At 51.7% G+C, this 24,484-nt stretch overlaps 3 protein-coding genes and 1 long non-coding RNA gene across 9 annotated transcripts in view, besides 3 other annotated features; 3 read left to right on the top strand and 1 right to left on the bottom strand.

The window, feature by feature from the left end:
* Positions 619 to 1,818: an enhancer, noted in NCBI's record as "P300/CBP strongly-dependent group 1 enhancer chr20:48782079-48783278 (GRCh37/hg19 assembly coordinates)". NCBI's record gives its function as "activates an origin of replication core promoter dependent on BRD2, BRD4, P300/CBP, MED14 and CDK7 cofactors, with strong dependence on P300/CBP, by STARR-seq in HCT116 cells {active_cell/tissue: HCT116}" and the evidence as "EXISTENCE:reporter gene assay evidence [ECO:0000049][PMID:35650434]".
* LINC01275 (long intergenic non-protein coding RNA 1275) lies at positions 1,160 to 4,593 on the top strand. 4 transcript variants are annotated; one of them, NR_183899.1, is made up of 2 exons: positions 1,160 to 1,330; positions 4,265 to 4,593. It is a non-coding gene; the product is annotated as a long intergenic non-protein coding RNA 1275 (long non-coding RNA). The 4 variants fall into 4 exon arrangements; NR_183897.1 differs by lacking the exon at positions 4,265 to 4,593 and adding an exon at positions 3,327 to 4,025; NR_183896.1 differs by lacking the exon at positions 4,265 to 4,593 and adding an exon at positions 3,237 to 4,025.
* Positions 13,204 to 13,883: a silencer, noted in NCBI's record as "silent region_13014". NCBI's record gives its function as "represses an Ori minimal core promoter by ATAC-STARR-seq in GM12878 lymphoblastoid cells {active_cell/tissue: GM12878}" and the evidence as "EXISTENCE:reporter gene assay evidence [ECO:0000049][PMID:35858748]".
* The window catches only part of PEDS1-UBE2V1 (PEDS1-UBE2V1 readthrough), a 72,600-nt gene continuing 61,752 nt past the window's right edge, over positions 13,637 to 24,484 (top strand). The window contains exons 1-2 of the mRNA NM_199203.3: positions 13,637 to 13,843; positions 23,739 to 23,858. Of these exons, the coding sequence (NP_954673.2) occupies positions 13,723 to 13,843; positions 23,739 to 23,858 (241 nt within the window). The 5' untranslated portion in view covers positions 13,637 to 13,722. The remainder of the gene's footprint in view (positions 13,844 to 23,738; positions 23,859 to 24,484) is intronic.
* PEDS1 (plasmanylethanolamine desaturase 1) overlaps positions 13,637 to 24,484 on the top strand; it is a 35,470-nt gene continuing 24,622 nt past the window's right edge. For 2 of the 3 annotated variants that reach the window (NM_001162505.2, NM_199129.4), the window contains exons 1-2: positions 13,637 to 13,843; positions 23,739 to 23,858. In NM_001162505.2, the coding sequence (NP_001155977.2) occupies positions 13,723 to 13,843; positions 23,739 to 23,858 (241 nt within the window). In that variant the 5' untranslated portion in view covers positions 13,637 to 13,722. Of the gene's footprint in view, positions 13,844 to 16,044; positions 16,149 to 23,738; positions 23,859 to 24,484 lie in introns of all 3 variants that reach the window. The other variant, NR_027889.2, reaches the window with a different exon arrangement.
* Positions 22,987 to 23,622: an enhancer, noted in NCBI's record as "H3K27ac-H3K4me1 hESC enhancer chr20:48760275-48760910 (GRCh37/hg19 assembly coordinates)". NCBI's record gives its function as "activates a minimal SCP1, AML or CMV promoter by ChIP-STARR-seq in primed H9 embryonic stem cells {active_cell/tissue: H9 hESC(primed)}" and the evidence as "EXISTENCE:reporter gene assay evidence [ECO:0000049][PMID:30033119]".
* Positions 23,467 to 23,631, bottom strand: LOC124904927 (putative uncharacterized protein CCDC28A-AS1; the record flags this gene model as incomplete). Its single annotated transcript, XM_047440630.1, has 1 exon — positions 23,467 to 23,631. A coding segment is annotated over one exon (165 nt), but the record flags the coding sequence as incomplete, so codon positions are not given.

Raw genomic sequence — 24,484 nt, 5'->3', positions numbered from 1 at the left:
TGGGAGGCCAAGGTGGGCAGATCACCTGAGGTCAGGAGTTCAAGACCAGCCTGGCCAACAAGGTGAAACCCCACCTCTGCTAAAAATACAAAAAATCAGCCGGGCGTGGTGGCACTCACCTGTAGTCCCAGCTACTCGGGAGGCTGAGGCAGGAGATTTGCTTGAACCTGGGAGGCGGAGGTTGCAGTGAACTGAGATAGCGCCACCGCACTCCAGCCTGGGTGACAAAGCAAAACTCCATCTCCAAAATAATAATAATAATAATAAGTGTTGGTGATGATGTAGAGAAATTGGAACCCTTGTGCACTGTTGGAATATAAAATGGAACAGCCAGGCCGGACGTGGAGGCTCACGCCTATAATCCTAGCACTTTGGGAGGCTGAGGCAGGTGGATCACTTGAGGTCAAGAGTTCAAGATCAGCCTGGCCAACATGGTGAAACCTTGTCTCTACTAGAATACAAAAATTAGCTGGGCATGGTGGCGCACACCTGTAATCCCAGCTACTTGGGTACCTGAGGCAGGAGAATGGCTTGAACCTGGGAGGCGGAGGTTGCAATAAGCCAAGATCACGCCACTGCACTCCAGCCTGGACAACAAGAGCAAAACTCCGTCTCAAAAAAATAAACAAATAAACAATAAATAAATAAATAAAATTTAAAAATGGAACAGCCAACCTGGAAAACAGTATGGCAGTTCTTCAACAAATTAAACACAGAAATTACCATATGATGCAGCAGTTCCACTTCTGGGTATATACCCAAAAGAATTGAAAGCAAGATCTTGAAGAAATATTTGTACACCCATATTCCATTAGCAACAGTGTTTACGATAGCTAAAAAGTGGAAACAACCTAAGTGTCCATCATCATCGATCACATGAACAAACAAGCAAAATGTGGTCCTTCAGCCTTAAAAAGGAATGAAGTTCTGACTCAAGCTATAATGTGAATGAAAGAGAGAGAGAAAAAAAAAGAGAAGAGAAGAGAAAAGAAGAAAAGGCAGCCGCTTTTCAAATGAGCTGACCCTGAGCCAGGCTTCTAGGAGCCAGAGGTGACTCAGCAGAGGCCCCACCCTCGATTCGCATGGGGAGACATTCCGGGGCAGCCTCCCGCTGACGTGTCTCAGCACATAATCACAAAGAGCCAAGCACGCATGAGTCAGAAGCAGTTATATCCCTAAGTCATAAAGCAGCAGCTGGGCCCAAGATTCCTGGCATCCTTCCAATCTCACCTCCCCCGCCCTATTTACCCAGGAGCAAAAGAAGCGGAGGGAAGCAACACAGCGCAGCGTGACTACGTGCTTGATCTGTCTCCTCCTAACGGGCATGCAGGTTGGTTCCAGTTTCCAGCGATCCTAAACACACTTGGCTGGACCTCCCTGTGCCTACAGAGGTGGGATTTTGTGACATAGGTGGGGGGAAATGGAATTGCTGGGGTGAATTGTAGATCCACGGGAGCTCCATTGCAACAGAAAAAGGCATGCCTCTTCAGTTTACTTACAGGTCAGGATTTCTAACCTTGGCCCCATTGACATCCTGGACTGGGTCATTCTTTGTTGTCAGGCAGCGGGGGAACCGTCCTCTGTAGGATGTTTAGCAGCATCCGTGGCTTCTACCCAATAGATGCCAGTAAATCACCACCTCCAGTTGTGACAACCAAAAATTTCTCCAGACATTGCCAAATGTCCCCTGGGAGTCAAAATCACCCCCAACTGAGAACCATTGCTGTAACTGTACAGAGCCTATGAGGATGAGGAGGATTTCTTTTTCTTTTCTTTTTTTTTTTAGACAGAGTCTCGCTGTGTCGCGCAAGCTGGAGTGCAGTGGCGCAGTCTCAGCTCTCTGCAACCTCTGCCTCCTGTGCTCAAGTGATTCTCCTGCCTCAGCCTCCCGAGTAGCCAGGATTATAGGCATGCGCCACCGCGCCCAGCCAATTTTTGTATTTTTAGTAAAGACGGGGTTTCACCATGTTGCCCAGGCTAGTCTTGAACTCCTGACCTCAGGTGATCCACCTGCCTCGGCCTCCCAAAGTGCTGGGATTACAGGCATGAGCCACCGCGCCTGGCCTACGAGGAGGATTTCTAAGCACAGATTCTTTAAACAGGTTTTATGTGTTATTGACTTTCTTCTCTTTGGGCAGAAGGACATTTTACCTCCCTAGAAGGGGTGCAATGACATTGATAGTCACTAGTTTAAGAATAAGAGATGTCCCTTGCAAGCAGACTCAGAGAAAAAAAAAAGGGTCTCAGTTCCTAATTGGGATAAATAACGAGATTTGAATCTGAACGATAGAAATTAAATTATAGGCCAGGCGCAGTGACTCACACCTGTAATCCCACTGCTTTGGGAGGCCGAGGCAGACAGATGACGAGGTCAGGAGATCGAGACCATCCTGGCCAACATGGTGAACCCCATCTCTACTAAAAAAAAAAAATACAAAAATTAACTGGGTGTGGTGGCGTGTGCCTGTAGTCCCAGCTACTCGGGAGGCTGAGGCAGGAGAATTGCTTTAACCTGGGAGGCGGAGGTAGCGGTGAGCCAAGATCACGCCATTGCACTCCAGCCTGGGCAACAAGAGCGAAACTCCATCTCAAAAAAAAAAAAAAAAAAAGAAAAGAAAGAAAAGAAGTTAAATTATAGCATTGCACCAATGTGACATTTTCTGATTTTAAAAACTATAGAGTTCCTATAAGATAATGTCTTTGTTCTTAAGAAATACACACTGAAGAATTTAGGGTAAAAAGGCATTATGTCTGTAACTGACTCTCAAATGGTTCCGAAAAAATGGTACACATGGAGAGAAAGAAGGATAAATCACGTGTAGCAAAATGTTGATAATTAGGGTATTGAGAGTTTATTGTACTATTCTTGCAACTTTCTGTAAATTTGAAAAAAAATTGAATTATTATTTTTAAAGGCATTTTTTTAGAAACTCACCTATGTTTTGTTCTAGTTTTTAAAGCAAGTTTTAATCTGTCATTCCCACCTGCTCCCAGGAAAAGGAAAAACATCATTGTATGATTGTGCCCTGGATCTAGACACAATTAGGGCACAGTCCCAAGAGGCTTCCAGAAAAAGGTTCTCAGTATAAGTGTGGCAGGCAGGAAGATCTCTTGCGTATATTTGTAAAATGCCTGGAAAGAAATTCCACCGAACATAAACAGTGGGTGGTGATGGTCCTATTGTCTATTGTGTCCCTCTGTAACCACCCTCTCCCTGCACTTGCCCCCTTCCCCAGGCAACCCAGGTGCCTTAGGTAAGTGACCCCATTCCCTGCCCTGCCTTGGAGGGCCGGATGAGTCAAAGAGTAATCTTATCCCTCTGCTAGTGAGTACAAATGAAGTCTGTGGGCCAACAAGGAGCGAGGAGCAGTTTCCTGGAAGCCCTGGGCTGGTGTTTGACTTGCTTTGAGATAGAATAAATGGGAGAAAGAGACTTTATGGGACATCTGGGCCTAGGGCTCCTGGATGCTGTGCTGAAAACACCACGTACAGAAGCCAGTCTAACCTTCTGGATGATGAGAGCCCAGATGCAGTACAGAGGTGCCCCAGCCAACAATCAGCTGCTATCTGAATCCCATCTGGATCCCATCTGAATCCCATGTCACCATGAATGAGGCCACCTTAGCCCAGCCAGCACAGCTGAAAGCCAGAAGCAGCCGCATGCACAAGCCCAGGGGAAGCCCACAGAGGAACCACCAGCCAACACACAGAATTGCAAGCAGTTAAGCAACTAAGATTAAGACAACAATTTTAAAATGAACCAGGTCCGGCCGGGTGCGGTGGCTCTCAGGCCTGTAATCCCAGCACTTTGGGAGGCCGAAGCGAGCGGGTCACCGGAGGTTGGGAGTTCGAGACCAGCCTGACCAACATGGAGAAACCCCGTCTCTACTAAAAATACAAAGTTAGCCAGGCGTGGTGGCGCATGCCTGTAATCCCAGCTACTCGGGAGGCTGAAGTAAGGTTATAACATGGCCTGGCGTGCAGTACGTGCTCAATAAATGCTCACCGTTATTGTTGATCAGGCATTTCTGATCTTGTCCCCTATGCCATTCACTATGAGGGCTCACGATGACAGGCAAGAAACAAGTAATCTACTAGGGAAATAATTGGGGAACTCTCAGGAACACCACAATGGCTAGAGAGCCTAGGAAAGCAGTTCATACACTGGAGGCCAAAAAGAAGGACTCGTGCCTGCCATGTGTGTGGCAGAAGCTTCCGAGTATCAACTATTAATAATATCATTTTCCTTTCTTATTATTAATAGAACCCCAGCTTTTAAGTTGGTCTCCGCAGAGGACAACTGCATTCTCCAGCCTCCTGTACAGCAGAGAGTGCCATGTGACTAAGACCAAGTTCTAACCAGTGGGATCAAAGCAGGGAAGTGTTGCCTTCTTTGCCCCTTCCTGCTGGCTGGAATATGACAAAACGGCTGCAGCATGAGCAACCTTCTTGGGCCCTGAGGTGGAAGCCACCTGTTGGTTGACCGACCAGATGGTGGAGTGACCAGATAGAAGGGGCCTGGTGATTGTGGATTCTGCCACACTACCTCTGGTCCCCTATACCTATGTGAAAGGAAAAGAAATGTCTGCCATGTTCGTGTGTGTGTGTGTGTGTGTAGTGTGTGTGTGTGTGTGTGTGTCTGCCATGTTTAAGCCACTATAACTTTGGGATATCTGTGGCTTATAGTCAAATCTAATCCAAACAAATGCACCTCTATGTCCCCCTCACAGATAAGAAGATTGATGCAAGGGAACCCCTGATGTGGCCATAACACAAAGATAGCTTCAACCACCACCGATACGGAGCTGGACTCCGCCCTTCCTGGCCTCCTGGCCTTTTATTCCCCGCTAATTCCTCTGGATTCCTAATGACTCCCATTCCCTGCATGCACACCAGGTACAGTCACATCTCCTGGCGTTTACTCTTGCCATACCCAGTGTCCAGCTTCCCTCCCTTATCTTTGTTTTGTTTTGTTTTTTGAGACGGAGTCTTGCTCTGTCGCCCAGGCTGGAGTGCAGTGGTGTGATCTCGGCTCACTGCAACCTCCGCCTCCCGGGTTCAAGCCATTCTCCTGCCACAGCCTCCCCAGTAGTTGAGATTACAGGCACAGGCACGTGCCACCACGCCCAGCTAATTTTTGTGTTTTTAGTAGAGATGGGGTTTCCCATGTTAGCCAGGCTGGTCTCGAACTCCTGGCCTCAAGTAATCCACCCGCCTCGGCCTCCCAAAGTGCTGGGATTACAGGTGTGAGCCACCACACCCGGCACCTTACCTTACCTTTTCTCCTTGGTAAAAACACTGGAGAAGTTGGCCAGGTGCAGTGGCTCACACCTGTAATCCCAGCACCTTGGGAGGCCGAGGCGGGCGGATCACGAGGTCAGGAGATTGAGACCATCATGGCTAACACGGTGAAACCCCGTCCCTACTAAACATACAAAAAAATTAGCCGGGTGTGGTGGTGGGCGCCTGTCGTCCCAGCTACTTGGGAGGCTGAGGCAAGAGAATGGCATGAACCCCAGAGGCGGAGGTTGCAGTGAGCCAAGATCACGCCACTGCGTTCCAGCCTGGGTGGCAGAGCAAGACTCCATCTCAAAAAAAAAAAAAAAAAAAAACGAAACATTGGACAACTTAACTTCTCTGAACCTCAGTTTCCTTTTCTGGAAAATGGGGCCAAATAGCAAGTTGTATGCAAACTGCCTGCCACAGAGCAATAGCCACCTTCAAACACAGTTCCCCACACCTTTCTCGCTGATCCTTCCCTGATCTCAGGCCCCACACTCTGCAAGCAAGAAAAAATATAGCAAAATAAAAACAGAATCCAGGCCAGGCACGGTGGCTCATGCCTGTAATCCTAGCACTTTGGGAGGCCAAGGCAGGTGGATCACCTGAGGTCAGGAGTTCAAGACCAGCCTGAACAACATGGAGAAACCCCGTCTCTACTAAAAAATACAAAATTAGCTGGGCGTGGTGGTGCATGCCTGTAATCCCAGCTAGTCAGGAGGCTGAGGCAGGAGAATCGCTTGAACCCAGGAGGCAGAGGTTGCCGTGAGCCGAGATCACACCATTGCACTCCAACCTAAGCAACAAGAGCAAAACTCCATCTCAAAAAACAAACAAACAAACAAACAAAAACAGAATCCACTGGATTCCTATATCAGTGAAGTTCAAAGGAAAGTTTCAGTTCAGGTAAGGTTTGTTCCAGTGGCTCAGTGCTAACAGTAATAGCTAAAATTTATTGAAGGCGGGTGTAGTGGCTCACACCTATAATCCCAGCACTTTGGGAGGCCGAGGCAGGTGGGTCACTTGAGGTCAGGAGTTTGAGACCAGCCTGGCCAACATGGCAAAACCCCATCTCTACTAAGAATACAAAAATTAGCTGGGCGTGGTGACAGGCACCTGTAATCCCAGCTACTTGAGAGGCTGAGGCAGGAGAATCACTTGTACCCCAGAGGCGGAGGTTGCAGTGAGCCGAGATCGAGCCATTGCACTCCAGCCCGGATGACAGAGTGAGACTCTGTCTCAAAAAAATAAAATAAAATAAAATTTATTGAGGGTTTACAATATACCAGGCACTCTTCTAACAACTATGTATGTATTAACTTATCTTCATAACAACCCTATGAAGCTGGCACTCTGCTAGGATCCCCATTTTTACAGGAGGAAACTGACATCCTGAGAGAGTAAATAATTTGCCCATGGTCACACAGCACACAAGTGGTGGAGCTGAGACTTAACCTAAGTCTGTCTGACTGGAAAGGTAGGGCTGCTTTCAGGTGAAGCTTGATCCAGGCACTTAAAGGTCTCAGCAAGGACCTGGTTTCTCTTGGTCTCTCCTTTTTGCTTCCTCTAATGTTGCACTCACCCTGAGGATGATGCCCCCATGGCTGCCAGCAGATTCTGATGAGACTTGCTTTCTTATTCACATCCCAATTCCATACCAGGATCCTGAAGTCCACTGTCATAGACCATCTGAAGTCACATGCTCATCCCTGAACCAATCACTGCATCCCAGGGGACTGGACAATGTAGCTTGGCTTGTGCTAAATTCAGGGGCTGAGAACAGGGGCAGCAAGAGAGATTCCTCCAAAACTTCAGGGCATTTTTTTTTTTCTTTTTTGAGATGGAGTCTCACTCTGTCACCCAGGCTGGAGTGTGATCTTGGCTCACTGCAACCTACACCTCCCGGGTTCAGCGATTCTCCTGCCCCAGCCTCCCGAGTAGCTGGGACTACAGGCACGTGCCACCACACCCGGCTACTTTTTTTGTATTTTTAGTAGGGACGGGGTTTCACCATGTTAGCCAGCATGGTCTCGATGTCCTGACCTCATGATCCGCCTGCCTTGGCCTCCCAAAGTGCTGGGATTACAGGCGTGAGCCACCGTACCCAGCCAATTCAGGGTATTATTTCTATGAAGGAGCAGGAATGGATGTCGGCAGCCAGGAACAGATATCCACATGCCCATGTCTCACATGTTTCGAAAAGAACCTTTTGTGGAAAAGAGGAAGTTTGGGGACAGCTGTGCCACAGTCCAGACAGGCAACATCTGGTTCTGATCAGTCCCTCCAGGACACCCCCCACCCCCAGGGAAGGAAGCCTTCCTGTCCACACTCTTGTCCCTTGTCAGGAGGTGGACACACTGAGGGTGTTGGCCTAAAGCCCGCAACAGGGCCAGAGCACTGCCTGGGGCACTTTCTGCTGGGTAGGAAGCCCTGCTGGGGGTGAGGAGATGTGCTCAGTGACTGGATCAGGGAACAGGTGGCTCTGCTGGGCACACACAGCCTCTCAGGAGCCCCCGACATCCTGACCACATGGCCATCCCTGCTTGCCTCTGAGGCTCTTCTCACAGCCTGGTATACTCTCTGAGGCCCCCTGGTCCTTCTGCCAGGCTATGGCCTGGGTTTTTTTTAAATTCCTGTGGGCTCAAAGCCCACTTCTTAGCAGCCCACATATTCAGCCAAATCATTAAAATACATCTGCAATAGAGGATTTTTAGGGCAGTGAAACTACTCTGTCTGATAACTATGATGGTGGATCCATGTCATTACACATTTGCCCAAGCCCACAGAATGTACACCAAGAGTGAATCGTAATGCCAGCTATTGACTTTGGGTGATAATGGAGTGTCAATATAGGTTTATCAATTAACAAATGTACCACTCGGAGGCCAAGCGCAGTGGCTCACGCCTGTAATCCCAGCACTTTGGGAGGCTGAAGTAGGAGGTTTGCTTGAGCCCAGGAGTTCAAGACCAGCCTGGGCAACATAGTGAGACCCCATCTCTACAAAAAATAAATTAGCCAGGCATGGTGGTGTGTGCCTGTGATCCAAGCTACTTGGGAGGCTGAGGTAGGAGGATTGTTTGAGCCTAAGAGGTTGAGGCTACAGTGAGCCATGATGGTGCCACTGCATTCCAGCCAGGGAGACAAATACAGAGACCCTGTGAGGAAGAAAAAATTTTTTTAAAAAGGGAAGTCTGGGCTGGGTGCCGTGGCTCACGCCTGTAATCCCAGCACTTTGGGAGGCCAAGGTGGTTGGATCACATGAGGTCAGGAGTTCGAGACTAGCCTGACCAACATGGTGAAACCTCATCTCTACTAAAAATATAAAAAATTAGCTGGTGTGGTGGAGCACATCTGTAATCCCAGCTATTTGAGAGGCTGAGGCAGGAGAATCGCTTGAACCCAAGAGGCGGAGGTTGTAGTGAGCTGGGATCACACCACTGCGCTCCAGCCAGGGCAACAGAGTAAGACTCCACTCAAAAAAAAAAAATACAAAAAATTAACTGAGTGTGGTGGCCCATGCCTGTAATCTGCCTGTAATCCCAGCTACTTGGATGACTGAGGTGGGAGAATCACCTGAACCCAAGAGTTCAAGGCTGCAGTGAGCCATGATCACACCACTGCACTCCAGCCTGGACAAAAGAATGAGACCCTATTTAAAAAAAAAAAAAAAAAGTGTATGTCAAAGAACATTATCAAGGAAGTTAAAAGACAACCAACAGAATGAGAGAAAATTGTCGTAAATCCTATATATGATAAGGGATTAATAGCCATACTATATCAAGAACTCTTACAATTCAAGAAAAATACCAATAACTGAATTTGAAAAAAGGCAAAGGATTTGATTTTTTGTTTGTTTGTTTTTGATATGGAGTTTCGCTCTTGCTGCCCAGGCTAGAGTGCAATGGCGTGGTCTCAGCTCACTCGGATCACTCGCCTCCCAGGATCAAATGATTCTCCTGCCTCAGTCTCCCAAGTAGCTGGGATTACAGGCATGAGCCACCACATCCGGCCAAGGCAAAGGATTTTAATAGATATTTCTCCAAAAAAGATATACGTGGCCGGGCGCGGTGGCGCATGCCTGTAATCCCAGCACTTTGGGAGGCCGAGGCAGGTGTATCACCTGAGGTCAGGAGTTCACAATCAGCCTGACTAACATGGTGAAACCCCGTCTCTACTAAATACAAAAAAATTAGCTGGGCGTGATGGCGCATGCCTGTAATCTGAGCTACTGGAAGAATAAAAAAGTGCAGTTCTGACATGTGCTACAACATGGATGAACCTTGAAAACATTATGCTAAGTGAAAGAAGCCAGACAAAAAAGGCTTCATATAATTATAGATTATATGATTCCATTATATTGAAATGTCCAGTAGAAGCAAGTCCTTAGAAGCAGAAAGTAGATTAATGGTTACCAGGGGCTGGGGAAAGAGGGAAGTGAGGGAGTAACTGCTAATGGATATGGGGTTTCTTTTGGGGGTACTTAAAATGTTCTGGAACTAGATAGTCGTGATGATTACACAACTGTGTGAATATACTAAAAACCACGGAATTTAATATGGTTCACTTTATACTTTAAAAGGTATGAAATTTATATCTCTTGGTGGGGCATGGTGGCTCATGCCTGTAATCTCAGCACTTTGGGAGGCCAACACGGACGGATCACGAGGTCAGGAGTTCGAGACCAGCCTGGCCAACATGGTGAAACCCCATCTCTACTAAAAATACAAAAATCAGCCAGGGATTGTGGGCGCCTGTAATTTCAGCTACTCAGGAGGCTGAGGCAGGAGAATCGCTTGAAACCGGAAGGCAAAGTTTGCAGTGAGCCGAGATCACGCCACTGCACTCCAGCCTGGGTGACAGAGCGAGACTCTGTCTCAAAAAAAAAAAAAAAAAGATTTATATCTCATGAAACAAAAGATATAGGCTGGGCACAGTGGCTCATGCCTATAATCCCAGCACTTTGGGAAGCTGAGGTGGGAGGATGGCTTTAGCCCAGGAGTTTGAGACCAGCCTGGGCAACATGGCAAAACCCCATCTCTACCAACAATACAAAAGTTAGCCAGGCATGGTGGCGAGCACCTGTAGTCCCAGCTACTTGGGAGACTGAGGTGGGAGAATCCCTTAAGCCTGGGAAGTCAAGGCTGCAGTGAGCCAAGATTGTGCCACTGCTGCACTCCAGCCCAGGTGACAGAGTGAGACCCTGTCTCAAAAAAAAAAAAAAAAAAAAAAGGCGGGTGGGGTGGCTCACGCCTGTAATCCCAGCACTTTGGAAGGCTGAGGTGGGCAGATCACGAGGTCAAGAGACCGAGACCATCCTGGCCAACACGGTGAAACCCGGTCTCTACTAAAAATACAAAAATTAGCTGGGTGTGGTGGCGCGTGCCTGTAGTCCCAGCTACTCAGGATGCTGAGGCAGGAGGATCGCTTGAACCCGGGGGGCAGAGGTTGCAGTGAGACGAGATTGTGCCACTGCACTCCAGCCTGGCGACAGAGTGAGACTCCGTCTCAAAAAAAAAAAAAAGTCGGCCGGGCGCGGTGGCTCACGCCTGTAATCCCAGCACTTTGGGAGGCCGAGGCGGGTGGATCATGAGGTCAGGAGATCGAGACCATCCTGGCTAACAAGGTGAAACCCCGTCTCTACTAAAAATACAAAAAATTAGCCGGGCGCGGTGGCGGGCGCCTGTAGTCCCAGCTACTCGGGAGGCTGAGGCAGGAGAATGGCGTGAACCCGGGAAGCGGAGCTTGCAGTGAGCCGAGATTGCGCCACTGCAGTCCGCAGTCCGGCCTGGGCGACAGAGCGAGACTCCGTCTCAAAAAAAAAAAAAAAAAAAAAAAAAAGTCAGATCATGTCATTCCTCTACTCAAAACCCCACAGGGAAGGGACTTCCCAGCTCATTTTAAGTAACTGTCTCCCCCATATCCTTTAGGTCTTGGATCCAATGTCACCTTCTTAAACAGGACTTCCCTAACCTTCACCCCCACCTCCCAAGAAAGCAGGGATTCTGTCACATTCCCTGCTGTTTCCCTGGGACAGGTTGGTGTTTAATAAACATGTTCAGTGAATGAATGAAGGAATGAGTTATCTCAGGCAGTCTGTCCATCAACCATCTGGTGCTGGCCACTGTGAGGGTCTCTGGACAGCAGCAGTAACCAGCCACCCTACCCTGTTTGGAGGCTGTGGGATACGAGCAGAGAGCTTTAGAAGGTATTTACCTGAAATCTGACATCCAGCCCCCACCAAAGCCACCAACCGCGCCCCCCCCCCCCCGTCCGCCGCCCCCCACCCAAGCCTTAAGCTCCTGGGTTAAAAAATCCAACTGTTGGATTAACTGTGCTGTTAATACTGATGCAAAACCAGCCAGCTTCACCGGAATTCACCAGGACTTGGGTTGCAACCCATCCCTGCCACTGGAAGGTGGCTTTTCCTTCCTGGGAGCAGGTGTGGGAAAGAAACGGAGGGAGCATAGGCCTGGGTGGGGACAGTGGCTGTCTATGGTAGGAACACTCAGGAAACAGCCCTGGGGTGACTGGTAGTGCAGGAATCCAGGACTTAAACCCTCAGAGAACCTGGATTCTGGAAGGGGATCTTACCTTCCCTCTCTGCTCCCCCAGCACCTTTCAGGACCTTCCACAGCCTCTAGGGAGGCTCCTATGTGATCTCACTGTATGGATTTTTTTTTTTTTTGAGACCAAGTCTCACTCTTGTCACCCAGGTTGGAGTGCAGTGGCGCCATCTCGGCTCACTGCAACCTCCACCTCCCAGGTTCAAGTGATTCTCCTGCCTCAGCCTTCCAAGTATCTGGGATAAGTAGCTTGCCTAATTTTTGTATTTTTAGTAGAGACAAGGTTTTACCATGTTGTCCAGGCTGGTCTCAAACTCCTGGCCTTAGGTGATCCACTGGCCTCGGCCTCCCAAAGTGCTGGGATTACAGGCCTGAGCCACCGCGTCCAGCCTGTATGGAATTTTTTTTTTTTTTTTTTGAGACGGAGTCTCCCTCTGTCGCCCAGGCTGGAGTGCAGTGGCGCGATCTCGGCTCACTGCAAGCTCCGCCTCCCGGGTTCACGCCATTCTCCTGTCTCAGCCTCCCGAGTAGCTGGGACTACAGGCGCCCGCCACCGCGCCCAGCTAATTTTTTGTATTTTTAGTAGAGACGGGGTTTCACCGTGTTAGCCAGGATGGTCTCGATCTCCTGACCTCATGATCCGCCCGCCTTGGCCTCCCAAAGTGCTGGGATTACCGGCGTGAGCCACCGCGCCCGGCTGCCTGTATGGAATTTCTATGAGAAATTATTGCATACTTTGTTGTCGGTTAGACCTGGGGTAAATCCCTGCTGCTGTCATTTATCTGCCGAAGTATTAGACGCATCTGGCTGAGCCTTAATTCATTCATCAAGCATTTATTGAGCTTCTACCATGTTCCAGCCCCGATCCTGGCACGGGGGCCCTGCTGTAAACAAAGCTGTTCTCTGCCCTCAGGAGCTTGCTCTCTGATAGGAGAGACAGGGACTGCAAGCTCAATCCCCACCAGAAGCGCTGTGAAGACAAAACAGGGTGATGTCACAGTGACTGGAGGAGGGGGCACCTTTGAGCAGGGTGGTGGTGGTGGGGCTCTCTGAGGAGGCAATACCATTGGTGTTTAAGAGTCAAATAAATGTTGCTCGTCTAGCTCTTGGTCCAGCACCTGACAGATATTAAGCGCTCAGCAAATCTCATAGTGACCCTAGTTGTCATTTTCATTAGTTTACTGTCCTCGCCACCGGGAGAACATGAGCTGGGGAGGATGCGGGGCAGGCTCGACGTTTCTCCTCTTTGGGCGCACAGCACAGAGCTGGCACACAGCTGATGAACACATGGCACCCGAAACCTCTGCACACAGTAGGGCTTGATAAACCAGCCCACTCTCCATCGGCCTCGCTAGGGAGCATCGTACAGAGCACCCGCCAAATGCTTCCTGGCCTCGGCCCCAGCCCGGCGCCCTGCCCTCGCGTTCCTTGCACACAGTGGGCGCTTAACGCTGCCGGCTCAAGAAATGCCCATTTCTGGGCCCTGCCTCGGCCCATTGCATGGGCCCGTGAACCGAAGCCTAGCTGGGCGGCGACGCGCCGCGAGCTCCCAGTGGGCTGGAGCCGGGAGCCCTGCCGGGGCTGAGCTGGGAAGGCGGGCACGCGCCTCCGCCCCAAGCTTCCGCGCCCAGCTGCGTCCAGCTGCGTCCCAGCCTCCGGCTCGCGGCGGTTGGCTGCGGCTCAGCGACGTCCGATTGGCCTGCGCGGCTCCGGCGCGAGCCCCGATTGGCTGTGACGCGCGGCCGGGCGAGGACCCCGCCCGCGCCGCCGCCGCGCCCGGCGCTGGGCGGTCATTGGGCGGCGTGATCTCGCCGCGGTTCCGCGGCCCTGCCGCCGCCGCCGCCAGCAGAGCGCACCGGGCCGATCGGGCGAGTGGCCATGGCGGGCGCCGAGAACTGGCCGGGCCAGCAGCTGGAGCTGGACGAGGACGAGGCGTCTTGTTGCCGCTGGGGCGCGCAGCACGCCGGGGCCCGCGAGCTGGCTGCGCTCTACTCGCCAGGTAAGACCTCTGGGCCCCCCTCCAGGCCTGCGGTCACCAGCCCCGGCTGCGGACAGCGACCCCAGACTGGAGTCCCAACCTCGGGCCCAGATGCGGAACTCCAGCCCGGGTGTCTAACTTGCAAATAGCAAGTTCGGGGACCCCACCCCAGTGTCCCTTCCGAACCCAAGCCAGAACCTTGGCCCCGGGGTTTCCTGGCTGCAGAGACACTCCCCAGATCAAGAAATTACCATGAGCTCCCTGGGCGACAAACGGAGCTCCCATCGGACCCGCAGATACGGAATCCTAGCCCCGGGGCATTCTCGGTTGTGAAGAGTGCTCCTAGACTTAGAACCCCACCCCCTCATCCCCCCAGGACCCGGTCCAAGCCCAAAGCTGCCCTTCAGCTGTAAGCACTGCCCTCAGGCCCCTAAAAGTCACACCTCATCCTGGGTTCCCCAGATCTGGAATCTACATCCTAGTACCTCCTCTGTGCCCTAGCCCAGGCCCTGGGCTGCAAACAATGACCTCACCTCCCTAACCTGGGAATGTCAGCCCCTCTGCCCAGGGAACCCTAACTCAGGGGCTTCCAGCTGCACGGTACCCCCCACACCCTTCCCCCAAAACCCCATCCTAGTGATAGCTTCAGTGGCTACAGACCGATATCCTCTCCCCAACCCTCCAGTGGTGAGCATCAGTCCTTGCCCCATATTCCTGGATCCCAGGCAGTGAGGGGACTGAATGTACCCCACTGTAAGCTCCCCTGTACATAAGCCCCAACTCTAGCTCTTGCCCCTCCCTCACATCCATGTATTGGCCCCTTCCTTAGGACTTGGGACTGGAACCCCCATATTCCCCAGACCAGATCATAAGTTGGAGTTCACCTCTCCCTCTCTGTCCCTTTCCCTCAGGCCACGGTTTCTCCCTAGCTTCTTCCTGCTTTGCTCACTGTATATGCTCCAGCAAGCACCCCCCCTACACCCACTTTTGTGACTCCTACGTGAGCCCTAGGAATTTTACTGTTTGGCCTCAGGAGGGCCCTATATCCCCAGGAGTTAAGGAAGTGCCTTTGAGAACTCCTGGTTCAGGTGACTGGGAGGCACCTCTACCTGGGTGTCACCATGGAATGAAGCTTTGTTTGTCAAATATCCTGACATCCTTCCTTTTTCTGTGGGGCAGCCACCAAGCACCACATGCAGCCCTTGCCTGGAGTGGGCCTGGGGTCACTAGCACCTTAGCTTTCTGCCCTCACTGGCCTGGGTTCCATGCCGTCTCTTCCTTAAAAGGCGGCATGGCCACGGACCATTTGCATTTCCTCACTGGGTCCTAGACCACTCCATTCTCTGTATGTGATTTTTCACACCTGACTTGGGCACCTGGTCCATGCCGCTATGGTTTCTTCAGGCCTATACCCAAGACACCCAGCCTATGGACTTAAAACCTCCTGCTCTCCTGGGGGTAGGCCAGGGTTAACATCCTGACTCTGTTATTCAGCTGTATGACCTGGTCCAAGCCACTTTCCGTCTCTGTTTCCCCTTGGTTTCCTTGCAAGTTAAAGTTTATCTGCCCCTTCGTGTTAGGAAGTGGAAATGAGATCGTCCACTGGCATTCAGTAGGCACTCCCTGTTGTTGTGTGGGTTTTTTTGTTGTTTTTTGTTTTGTTTTGTTTTATTTGTTTTGAGATGGAGTCTCACTCTGTTGCCCAGGCTGGAGTGCAGTGGCGTGATCTCGGCTCACTGCAAGCTCCTCCTCCCGGGTTCACGCCATTCTCCTGCCTCAGCCTCCTGAGTAGCTGGGACTACAGGCGCCCGCCACCATGCCCGGCTAATTTTCTGTATTTTCAGTAGAGATGGGGTTTCACTGTGTTAGCCAGGGTGGTCTCGATCTCTTGACCTTGTGATCCGCCCACCTCGGCCTCCCACAGTGCTGGGATTACAGGCGTGAGCCACTGTGCCTGGCGCCTCCCTGTTGTTAACAGTAGTCTGACCTTTGCTGTGGGGGATCCGCCTCACCTCTCTGGTCCTCAAACTCCCCACCTGGGAATTGGGGATAAGGATTCAAGGGCCTCCCTCTTTAGTGTCCAGCTCTGCCTGCTCCTGTGAACCCTACCTACTTTCAGACAGCCCAAATCATTCCCAGGCATTCTGAGCCTCCCCAGGGATTGCTGTTTCCCCACTCCACCACGATCAATTGCATATTTGTCCATTTCTGGTTTCCCCAAGTGCCCTTCACTCTCTGAAGAACAGCCATGCCTGAATCAGAGTCTGCAGACAGCCTGGTGCCCCAAATCTGCAATCAAGGCCCTTTATCTCCTCCAGACCTGGAGGTAGGGGAGGAGACTTGCCAAACTGGTTTCTCCAACTTCCTTTCCACTGGCCTCTCTGCTTCTATCTGCTCACTGTGTGATCTTGGGGAAGTATTTGACCTCTCTGGGCCTGAAAAAGTGAGAGACCAGGCTCAGTGCATATTGAACACCTATGTTCTAGTCCATGTTCTAGGCTCTGGGGGCAGAATGGTGAACAAGACAGAAAAAAATGGAGCTGGCCGGGCGCGGTGGCTCACACCCGTAATCCTAGCACTTTGGGAGGCCGAGGTGGGTGGATCACTTGAGGTCAGGAGTTCGAGACCAGCCTGGCCAACATGGCGAAACCCCGACTCTACTAAAAATACAGAAATTAGCTGGGCATGGTGGCAGGCCCCTGTAATCCCACCTACTCAGGAGGCTGAGGCAGGATAATCTCTTGAACCCAGGAGGCGGAGGTTGTTGCAGTGAGCCAATACCACACCACTGCATTCCAGCCTGGATGACAGAGCGAGACTCTGTCTCAAAAAAAAAGAAAAAGAAAAAAACGGAGCTGGCATTTTAGTAAATAGCCGGGCCATAAACTTGACAAATAACTGTCTCACGTGCCCAGTGGTGGCAAGCGCTGTGGAGCAAATACATAGCAGGAGAGGGGGATCTGAAATGTTGGGGACAGGAATGACATTTTAGGGAGGGGGCAGTGAAGGCTTCCCTGAGCAGGTGACATTCGAAGTGAGGCCTGAAGGGAGGAAGGACTGGAGGGAGGGAGCCTTGAGGATATTTGAAGAAGGGTTGGTCCAGACCAGGGAAACAACAAATGCAGAGACCCTGAGGTGGGAGCTTGCCAGGCATGTTTAGGGAATATGGAGGACACATGTAGGCTGGAGGGAAGAGTAGAAGAAGTTCCTGGGTTCTAGGAGCAGAATGTTTGAGATTACTGGGGCTGGAGGTGGTTTGGCACTGTGACAGTTGACAGCCATAATCATGGCAATCAACATAGCCGAGTGATTGAGCCTCACTGTGCTGGCATTTTCCTCACCTGCTCTCCGTGCATCCCCACTACAACCGTGTGAGCTGTACCTTGATATTAACTGCATTCACAGAGGAGGAGGCTGCAACCCCTCCCAACCCCCACCCCAGGCATGCTCTTCCTAAAGCTCACCCTGATCGGGGTTAGGCCCGCATCTGCCCTCACCTGATGGGAAGGCCAGCAGGACAGGGACTGAACCTATTTGGTTTGATTAAAGTGCTTGGCCCCTCATGAGCACCCAGTCCACTTTTGTTGGAACATTTCCTGAGGCTTAGAAAATGGGAGAGGCTGCCTGAGGTCATACGGCGGGGCACCGGGCAGCAGTAGGGCTAGGCCTGGAACCCGGGACTGGGCCGGGTGGGGGTGCGCTAGGTTCTGTGTTCTTACTCTTCACTATGGAAGTCAGCCAGCCAGGGGTGAGTGTGTGGGAGGTGGGGGCGAGTATTCCGGATCATCAGAACAGCATGTGTGCAGGGCAGGTGGCAGAGAATGGGCCTCTGTGTGTAGGGAGCTGTGAGTAGTTGGACCAGAGCAGCATGGGGCTGAGGGAATGGTGACAGGTGCAGCAGGGAGGCGGCCACAGCCTGATTTCGCAGGCCCCAAGTGTCTGGCCCAGAGGTTGAGCCCTGGTCCTGCAGGACCCAGGAGCCGTTCTGTCCTGTTCTGGGCTGAGTTTCCCAGCAGCAGCCCACCTCATGCCAGATGTCAGGGTTTGTGAAGGGCCTGGCCAGCTTGGCAGGCCAGAGGGTGAGGCGGGTGTCCAGCTTCCCAGGAGGTCCCAGCTGAAATCTGGCCATGTGTGTGCTACTTCTCAGGTGCCCCAGGCTTCATGGGTGCAGCCTCACGGTCCTTGATCCACCTGTACCCCACCCAGGCCAACTGTGGGTGCCCCCTGCCCTGGGGATTACAGAGGCTCTTGGCACAGGGGGAAGGGAAAGGTGGAGGGTGTCAGGAGTACTGGGTGAGAGTCCTGGCCTGTACTCCCAAAGCTGAACCCAGGGGTTCAGTCCCCCAGATGGGCTTTCTGTTTTTTGCTCCTTTTGTCTCTGTTTCTCATCTTTGTTTCTTTCGGTTTTTTTGTTTGTTTGTTTTTGAGACAAGGTTTTGCTCTGTTACCTAGGCTGGAGTGTGATGGAGCGATTGCAGCTCACTGCAACCCAAAACTTCTGAGCTCAAATGATCCTCCCGCCTCAGCCTCCAAAGTGCCGAGATTGCAGGTGTGAGCCACCACGCCCAGCTAATTTTTATTTTTATTTTTGTAGAGGCAGGATCTAGTTATGTTGCCCAGGCTGGTCTCCAACTCCTGACCTCAAGTGATCCTCCTACCTTTGCCTCCTAAAGTGCTGGGATTACAGGCATGAGCCGCGGCACTCAGCCTGTTTCTCATCTTCCCATGGCTCTGATTCCTTATTTGTCTCTCATCTCTTATTTGTCCCTCTGTCCATCTCTCATCCCCACCTTCTCTCTACCTCTTGTCCCCCATCTCCCTGAGGCTGAGGGTCTGCTGGAGGCCAGGGGTCCTCAGAAGTCCAGCTTATTTGGGGCTTGTCTCTGCCTGGAACCAGAAGAGTTGGGCCCACCAAGCCTTTGACTGCAGCCTGTCCCCTGGAAAGCAGGATGACAAAGGCATGACCCCAGGCCTCCCCTGCTCTTCCTAGCTCCCCATACCTACCACACGAGGCCAGCCCCTTCCTCAGGCCAATAAGTGGCTACTGCTTTTGGCTCAGATCTTCAAACCCTGCCAAGCCAGGGGCTGGCTCTGATAGCAGGACCTCAGCACTACAGCCAGAAGACAGCCCGGGCCTCCTGTGTCCTGAGCAGCCACCCTCCCTGTCCCCACCTCAGTCTGCTCATCTGTTAAGTGATACAGTTTAGGCCAGTTGACCCCACAGGCCCTGCCAGGCTGATGATCCATGCTGTGACTTTGGTGACCCTCAAGTGACTTTGGACAAGTGCCTTGACCTCTCCAGGCCCAGCTTCTCTCTCTGAAGGATGGGACAGAGGGTCCCTAGCTCCAGGAGGTGGTGAGGGGTGCTGAGATCATCTTAGCCCTGTATCTGGCATGTTCCAGTTGCTCAGTGAAAGCTACTTAAGTTGTGTATGTTTTCTCCCCCTGGAGACGGAGTCTTGCTCTGTCGCCCAGGCTGGAGTACAGTGGCACGATCTCGGCTCACTGCAACCTCTGCCTCCTGGGTTCACGTGATTCTCCTGCCTCAGCCTCCCGAGTAGCTAGGAGATTACAGGTGCACCCTCCCGAGTAGCTAGGAGATTACAGGTGCACACCACCACACCTGGCTAATTTTTGTATTCTTAGAGACGGGGTTTCACCATGTTCATGTTAGCCAGGCTGATCTCGAACTCTTGACCTCGTGATCTGCCCACCTCGGCCTCCCAAAATGCTGGGATTACAGGCATGAGCCACCACACCCGGCCATTGTGTATGCATTCTTTATGGATGAGAATTAAGGTATTTGGTCTGCAGAAGGATCCAGCTTCCAGAGGCCAAAGAGAGATGGAGTTTAGATGGAAAAATATTCAGATTTGGAGGACGTTCTCCATGGCGTGGGGAGAGAGCTGGATCATCTTTGGTTTCAGGACTGCCCCGAACGTCCAGGCTAACATGTCTCATTGATGTGTCTGGGATCCAAACCCAGCTCTGAACCTCAGTTTCCTTGTCTAGGAAATGAGATCACTCAGTTCCTTCCTTGACGGGCTGATACTTGAATGAGAGACTGTGCCTCAGACTCAAAAACTCAGATGACTGCAGGGGCCCAGCCAGGGCTGCCACCAAATCTGGCCACCCAGTGTGAGACCCCAGGGAAGGGAGAGGACCAGGGTGAACCTGGAGCTCATATCCCATTGGATGGGGGCAGCTATTACTTATTGTTTAGGCCTAGGGTGGCCAGAGCCCTGTGTTGTTGAGGGAAGCAGGAAACTAGGAATTTTACGTGATTTTCAAATTTAGCTCACTTTTTAAAACTGAGGGCAAAACATGTCAGAGGGAGTCAGTTTGCAACCTCTCCGATATGGGCCACACCCCAGCGCATGACAGGCTTCAGTGTGTGTCAGCCATTGTTAGGGTAACTGTTATTTGATCATGTTGCAGTTGGCTCTGCCCACTTCCTGTCCCTGCATGCTGTGGGGCAGGCAGGCAGGTCGATCGGGAAGGTTCACTTGTTCTTTCCTTCTCACCGCCTCTCCGTGTCCTCCCACCCCACCCACTCGGGGTTTTCTGCTTCTGAGCCCTGGGCCTTGGCTACAAACAAGAATCAGAAAGGGGAAGGCCTTGCTGGGCCTGATCATGGTGATCCCCAGGCTGGGGCGGCTGCTGGGGCAGTGGGGGTGCTGCGTGGCTCAAGAGAAACAGCCCTCGCCTGAGAATTGGGGAACCAGGAGATCTAGGCCCCTGTGACCTCTGCTATGTGACCTCTGTTGAGGTCCTTCTCCTTCCTGGGCTTCACGGTCTTCTTCTGCACAAAAGGAGCCAAGGGCATGTAACCCTGGTGTGTTCCGTTCCCCTTCTGAGCCTTGGTCTTTTCAAGGGGCAGGGGAGGGCAGCTGTCCTGGTTCTGGGTCAGGGTAGGTCAGGAGCAGCTTGCTGTTGTGTGACCTGGAGAAGGCCTTCTCTCTCCCTGAGCCTCAGTTTCCCTATCATGACAAATGGGGAACCCAGTACTTCCTTCCCAAGGTATGTCGGTGAGCGGCACCCAGAGACAAAGCCATGGAGTTGTCCGTTAGGATTGTGGTTGGGAATTTGCTCATTCTGCAAGCATTTACTGAGTGTCAGGGCCCTGGTGAGTGAGCCAGACATGGTTCTGGGCCTCCCGACTTCACATTTAGGTAGGGAAAGACAAACGTAGACAAGGCCACAGGCATGAGCAATGGGCCTCGTGTGGGGGGAGTGTGGGGTCAGAGGAGGCATCATGGATGGCTTCCTGGAGATGGAGGTTTCCAGGGTGAGATCTGCAGGAACAGTGTCAGGTGCACAGGGAGTGAAGAGAACAGCATGCACAGAGTCCTAAAAAGAAGAGAGGGTGGACACAGGAGGAGCCCTTCTCACCTGCTCTGGCCCTGACCCCTTCACAGGGACCTGCCTGGCCCCGCTGCTTAAGTGGGGGCCTGGGCTCCTGACCCAGAATGTCGTCAAGGTGATAGGGTGATGGGGAATAGAGGGAGGGACCAGGGGCAGCAGGAACAGGATAGAGCGGGGCGAGAGCGGGATCTTAGGAGCCAGACCTCTGGCCATGGAATTCTGGTCTCTGCTGACTAGTTGGGTGGCTTTGGGCTACTTCCTTGACCACTCTGATGGTCAGTTTTCTCATCTGCAAAAGGACATCACTTCAGCAGGCGCCTGATATGTAGTAACTGCTCAGTATATTTTAAACACCCATGATAAAATTGTTGTCATTAAAGGTCTTCTGTGCCTTATGGAGCAGCTGCCTGGGGCATACCCTAGTCACATGTTCTATGTCACCCACATGGTGTTTTTATTTCCTTTAATTTTTTTTTTTCTTGAGATGGAGTTTTACTCTTGTCACCCAGGCTGGAGTGCAATGGCGTGATCTCAGCTCACTGTAACCTCCGCCTTCTGGGTTCAAGCGATTCTCCTGCCTCTCCCGAGTAGCTGGGACTACAGGCGCCTGCCACCACACCTGGCTAGTTTTTGTATTTTTAGTAGAGATGGGGTTTCGCCACGTTGGCCTGGCTGGTCTCAAACTCCTGACCTCAGGTGATCTGCCTGCCTCGGCCTCCCAAGGTGCTGGGATTACAGGTGTGAAACACTGCACCCGGCCTTATTTCCTTTAATGTTTAAAATTTTTTGTTTTGTTTTGTTTATTAATAGAGACAGGGTTTTGCTATGTTGCCCAAGCTGGTCTTGAACTCCTGGGCTCAAGCAATCCTCTCGCCTCAGCTTCCCAGGGTGCTTGGATTACAGGAGTAAGCCACTGGGCCTAACCCCTTTTATTTATTTTATTTTTATTTTTATTTTAGTTTTTATTTTTTGAGATGGAGTCTCACTCTGCCGCCCAGGCTGGAGTGCAGTGGTGCCATCTCAGCTCCCTGCAATCTCCACCTCCCAGATTCAAGTGATTCTCTTGCCTCAGCCTCCCGAATAGCTGGGATTACAGGTACCCGCCACATGCCTGGCTAATTTTTGTATTTTTAGTAGAGATGGGGTTTCACCATGTTGGCCAGGCTGGTCTCGAACTCCTAGTCTCAAATGATCCTCCTGCCTCGGCCTCCCAAAGTGCTGGGATTACAGGTGTGAGCCACCATGCATGGCCCCCTTTTATTTTTTTATTTTAATTTACAATTAAAAGAAAACAATGTAATATGCTAGTACTTTAAAAGGAAATAAGGGAAAAGCCGGTCTTAACTATATAGATTTTTTTTTAACATAAATGGCTGCTATTTGGCACTTTGCTTTTTGCACTTACCTAGATGTCCTGGACATCTCTCCACGTCCACTTATAGACAACTGCCCAGGTGTTTTCCTGGCTGCAGAGATGATGTGGACTGAATTCATTTGGCCAATCCCCAGGCAATGGCCACTTAGGTTATTTCCCAAGTTTTGACACCACAAACAAAGCTGCAGCGAGTGAATCAGCTTGTCTGGGCTCGTGTGTCTGTGAAAACTATGTGGCAACACTGAAACAGATTGCACACCCAAAGCCTGACTTCTGGCTCCTCTTGGGAATCAGAAGCTCTGCCTCCCTGGCCCACACGCCATACTTTTAGAAGCCCCACTGCCCCAGAGCCCTATTTGTCCATGAATTCCTGACTCATTGTCTGGAGCCTGCTTGAGGGAGGCTGGGCAGGGTGTGAGCCACCAGGATTAAAGGTTGTTTGTAGCCTCTGCCTCCAAATAGTTACCTGCAAAAGGGGACAAGTGAAGCCACAAAGATTCTACTTTAAAAAAAGAAAAAGAAGCTCATTAAAGTTCCCTTAGGTGTCTCCAGAGAGAGCCCAGAGGGGCCCAGGAGACCAGAGTTCTGGTCCTGTCTGTCAAAGAATTGGTCTGTCAGAGAATTGGGCCACTCTCTGAAGGGCCCCATCCTTGGTTTAATGCATCCAGCCCTGACTGTTTGACCTTGGTGAGGGCCTCAGTGACGTCATCTGTGAAATGGGTACAGACTCCTTTGCGGGAGTCTGTAAGCTCAGCTTGTGGTTGGCAATATAGATGCATTAAACAAAGTTGAAAAGCTCCTGGCCAGGTGCGGTGGCTCACACCTGTAATCCCAGCACTTTGGGAGGCCAAGGTGGGCGGATCACAAGGTCAGGAGTTCAAGACCAGCCTGGCCAATATGGTGAAACCCCATCTCTACTAAAAAATATAAAAATTAGCCGGGCATGGTGGCGGGTGCCTATAATCCCAGCTACTCGGGAGGCTGAGGCAGGAGAATCGATTGAACCTGGGAGGTGGAGGTTGCAGTGAGCCGAGATGGCACCACTGCACTCCAGCCTGGGTGATAGAGTGAGACTCTGTCTCAGAAAAAAAAAAAAGAAAAGAAAAGTTCCCATGGGGCCACACTCTGCCTGGCCTTGACCTTCCAGCCTTTACCTCTCGCCTCTGCTCCCTGCAGGCAAGCGCCTCCAGGAGTGGTGCTCTGTGATCCTGTGCTTCAGCCTCATCGCCCACAACCTGGTCCATCTCCTGCTGCTGGCCCGCTGGGAGGACACACCCCTCGTCATACTCGGTGTTGGTGAGTGCCCGAGGCACTGCTGCCTGCCTCAACTTCCCTAGGGGCCAGGGACCCACCGGGTAACTGGCGCGTGTGTGTGTCCACATGCATGGATGTGTGTGCTTGAGTCCAGTATGTGCCTTGAGTACCCCACCTCCCTATTGCAGTCAGCAGCACCTCCCTGCAGCCTGTCACTTGGGCCCAAAACCTAAACATGATCCTCAGTTCCTCTCTTCCTCTTGCATTGCACATCCAAACCATCAGCAAATGCTGTTAACTCTACTTTCAAACTGCATGAGGAGTACAGCCATGGCTCTGTACCTTCATGGTCCCCACGCTTGTCCAGCCACCATCCTCTCCCGCCTGGGCTGTTTCAGGAGCCTTCTTCCTGGTCTCCCTGCCTTCACCTTTGCCCTGCACCGTCCAGTCTCCACATGGCTAGCTGGATCCTGCTAGAGCCCCAGGCAGATCATGCCACTCCCCCACTCTCATCTGCATACATCTGCAGCTGAATAGAACACCGGCTCCTCAGTGTACCTGCCCCAGCTTCCTCTAGCCACCCTCATGCTAGGTCACCCTGCACCTGCCACGCTGGCCCCCTGACTGTGCGTCTGTCACCTGCTCTCAGATACATTCCTACTTCAGGG

The sequence above is a fragment of the Homo sapiens genome, chromosome 20, assembly GCF_000001405.40.
Source record: "Homo sapiens chromosome 20, GRCh38.p14 Primary Assembly".
Classification (NCBI taxonomy): Eukaryota; Metazoa; Chordata; class Mammalia; order Primates; family Hominidae; genus Homo; species Homo sapiens.
Note: the sequence above shows the minus strand (reverse complement) of the source record. Positions and strands in the feature narration are given on the sequence as shown.